A 2,220-nucleotide genomic window follows, 5' to 3' on the forward strand; every position below is an offset into this window, starting at 1 on the left:
TAACCAAATAATTTTTCAGTACCAAACATGGTAAATCAGCTTTATTTATGAGATACTGCTGTCTGGTGACACTGATGGAATAAACAGTAGCAAAGAAATCTTTCTAGCTCAAGGGCCACATAAAGTCTCTTTCATGCAGTTCAGGCAAAGGAGGGATGACTTTTGATTATCTCACCCCATGTCACTCTTCTTCAGAAGTTGTCTTCATGGGTTGCTTTTGGAAATTAAAATCAACTATATTAGTAATGCTTTCAGCATATTCTTGTCTTCTCTGGGGATAATGTCAAAAGGAGAGAATCTGTACACAAGCACTTAAAGATGTAAATATTTTAACAGTTCTTTAGTTTGCAAACATCACCTTAGTTAAAAAGTGGAAGCTCTTAAAACATTTTATTTCTCCCGGTGGTTTTCAGTGAAAAGCAGCATTATTTTTTAATTACCTCCATCTCCGGATTGCTTCTTTCCTTCACAGTCTCCCACTTCAGAGTGTCCCTTAGTGTATAACGGTCTCACAGATACATCTCATCCACTCCACTCGACACTACAGTTCTGCATCCATCCTGCCACCTTCAAAGAGTGGGGTGAGCTAGACTTGGCTAGTAAAAGACAAGGCATGGCCTTGTATATTCTTGTACTGCCTGTCTCAGATTTTTGCATCGAATAAGCTTTTTCACCTTCCACATGAGAGATAGAAGTTACCTTTGAATCACATCTGAAACAAGTTTTACTTACTCTTGCTTAAAAAAAAAAATTAATGGATTTTGTTGTCCTTGTCATGTTTGAAAATGTATTGTTACCATTCAGCACTTTGTGACTACTGGCAACAAGAATTTGCCAGATGAAGTTGTAGCTGTTTTGGAGGTATTCAATCTTTGGGATTTTATACTGGCTTTTAGAAATCTAGCTATTGACTACTTAGATAAAATAGTCAACTCACCTACAAAACAAAATTTTCACAACATAAGGATGGCTATTGAGGCTTGAGAACATTTCTTAAAGTTTCATAAAATCGCTAGTAGTATCAGAACATTCTTCAGTGTTCTAATTATTATCTTTGGTTTGTGTGATACAAATTCTGTAGATAATAATACCAGTCTTGGTAAGTAAGTATTGATAGTTATAAGTGTTAACATAATTTTTCCATTTTTCCTTAAGAAGTCATTTTAACTTCTTTGCAGGCAGTTGACTAGGTAAAATGGCATTTTGGTAAATAGAAAGCTTTTGGGGTATTTAAGAGAATATTAAGGTAAAAAGCATAGAAAATGAAACTATATATTGTACTTATATTCTCCCTTGTATGACTGCGTAGTGGTGATACGGCTCTGATGACTGCCAGGATCCTTAGTCTCGTCCCGAATTGGATAAAAGAACACAGACGAATGTGGAGTGGTTTTAAGTAGAGGAGAGTTTAATAGGCGACAAGGAAGGAAGAAGCTCCCCCATACAGAGACAGAGGGAGGGGTCTCTAAAGCCAAGAGAGGAAACCCTGAGTGCCACGGAAATCAGCCAGTTATGAGGAGGTGGTGTCTGATTTGCATAGGGCTCAGGCGATTGGTTTGACCAGGTATGTCATTCACGTAGCCCATGAAAAACTGGCCCTCCCACCCTAGCTTTTTGATATGCAAATACAGGAAGCCATGATGTTCTACACACGTGAAGATATACGGGGGGAGGCTATGTTTCCAGGCACATGGGCAAGGAAGAAGACAGCTGGAATCTCCGTGTTTGGGTAGACCCAGTTTCTAAGGGCCCGTATTTGCATATCAAAGCTTGCTGGCCCAACTCTAAGAGCTAGGGCTTTCTGCTACACAAGAAACGTTTCTGGAGCTGCTTTAAAAGAAACAAAAACTTCCGGCCAGGCGCAGTGGCTCACGCCTGTAATCCCAGCACTTTGGGAGGCCGAGGCGGGCGGATCACAAGGTCAGGAGATCGAGACCATCCTGGCTAACATGGTGAAACCCCGTCTCTACTGAAAATACAAAAAATTCGCCTGGCGTGGTGGCGGGCGCCTGTAGTCCCAGCTCGGCGGCTGAGGCAGGAGAATGGTGTGAACCGGATAGGCAGAGCTTGCAGTGAGCGGAGATTGTGCCACTGCACTCCAGCCTGGGCAACAGGGCGAGACTGTTAAAAAAAAAAAAAAAAAAAAAAAAGAAAGAAAGAAACAAACAGAAACTTCCCAAGGGCCCCTTTTCCTCTCTATCTGTCTAAAATAATTTCTTA

At 40.9% G+C, this 2,220-nt stretch overlaps 1 annotated feature.

Annotated features, from left to right (window-relative positions):
- Positions 1,459 to 1,959: an enhancer, noted in NCBI's record as "H3K4me1 hESC enhancer chr14:82717858-82718358 (GRCh37/hg19 assembly coordinates)". NCBI's record gives its function as "activates a minimal SCP1, AML or CMV promoter by ChIP-STARR-seq in naive H9 embryonic stem cells {active_cell/tissue: H9 hESC(naive)}" and the evidence as "EXISTENCE:reporter gene assay evidence [ECO:0000049][PMID:30033119]".

Source organism: Homo sapiens, chromosome 14 (assembly GCF_000001405.40).
Source record: "Homo sapiens chromosome 14, GRCh38.p14 Primary Assembly".
In the NCBI taxonomy this organism is placed as follows: Eukaryota; Metazoa; Chordata; class Mammalia; order Primates; family Hominidae; genus Homo; species Homo sapiens.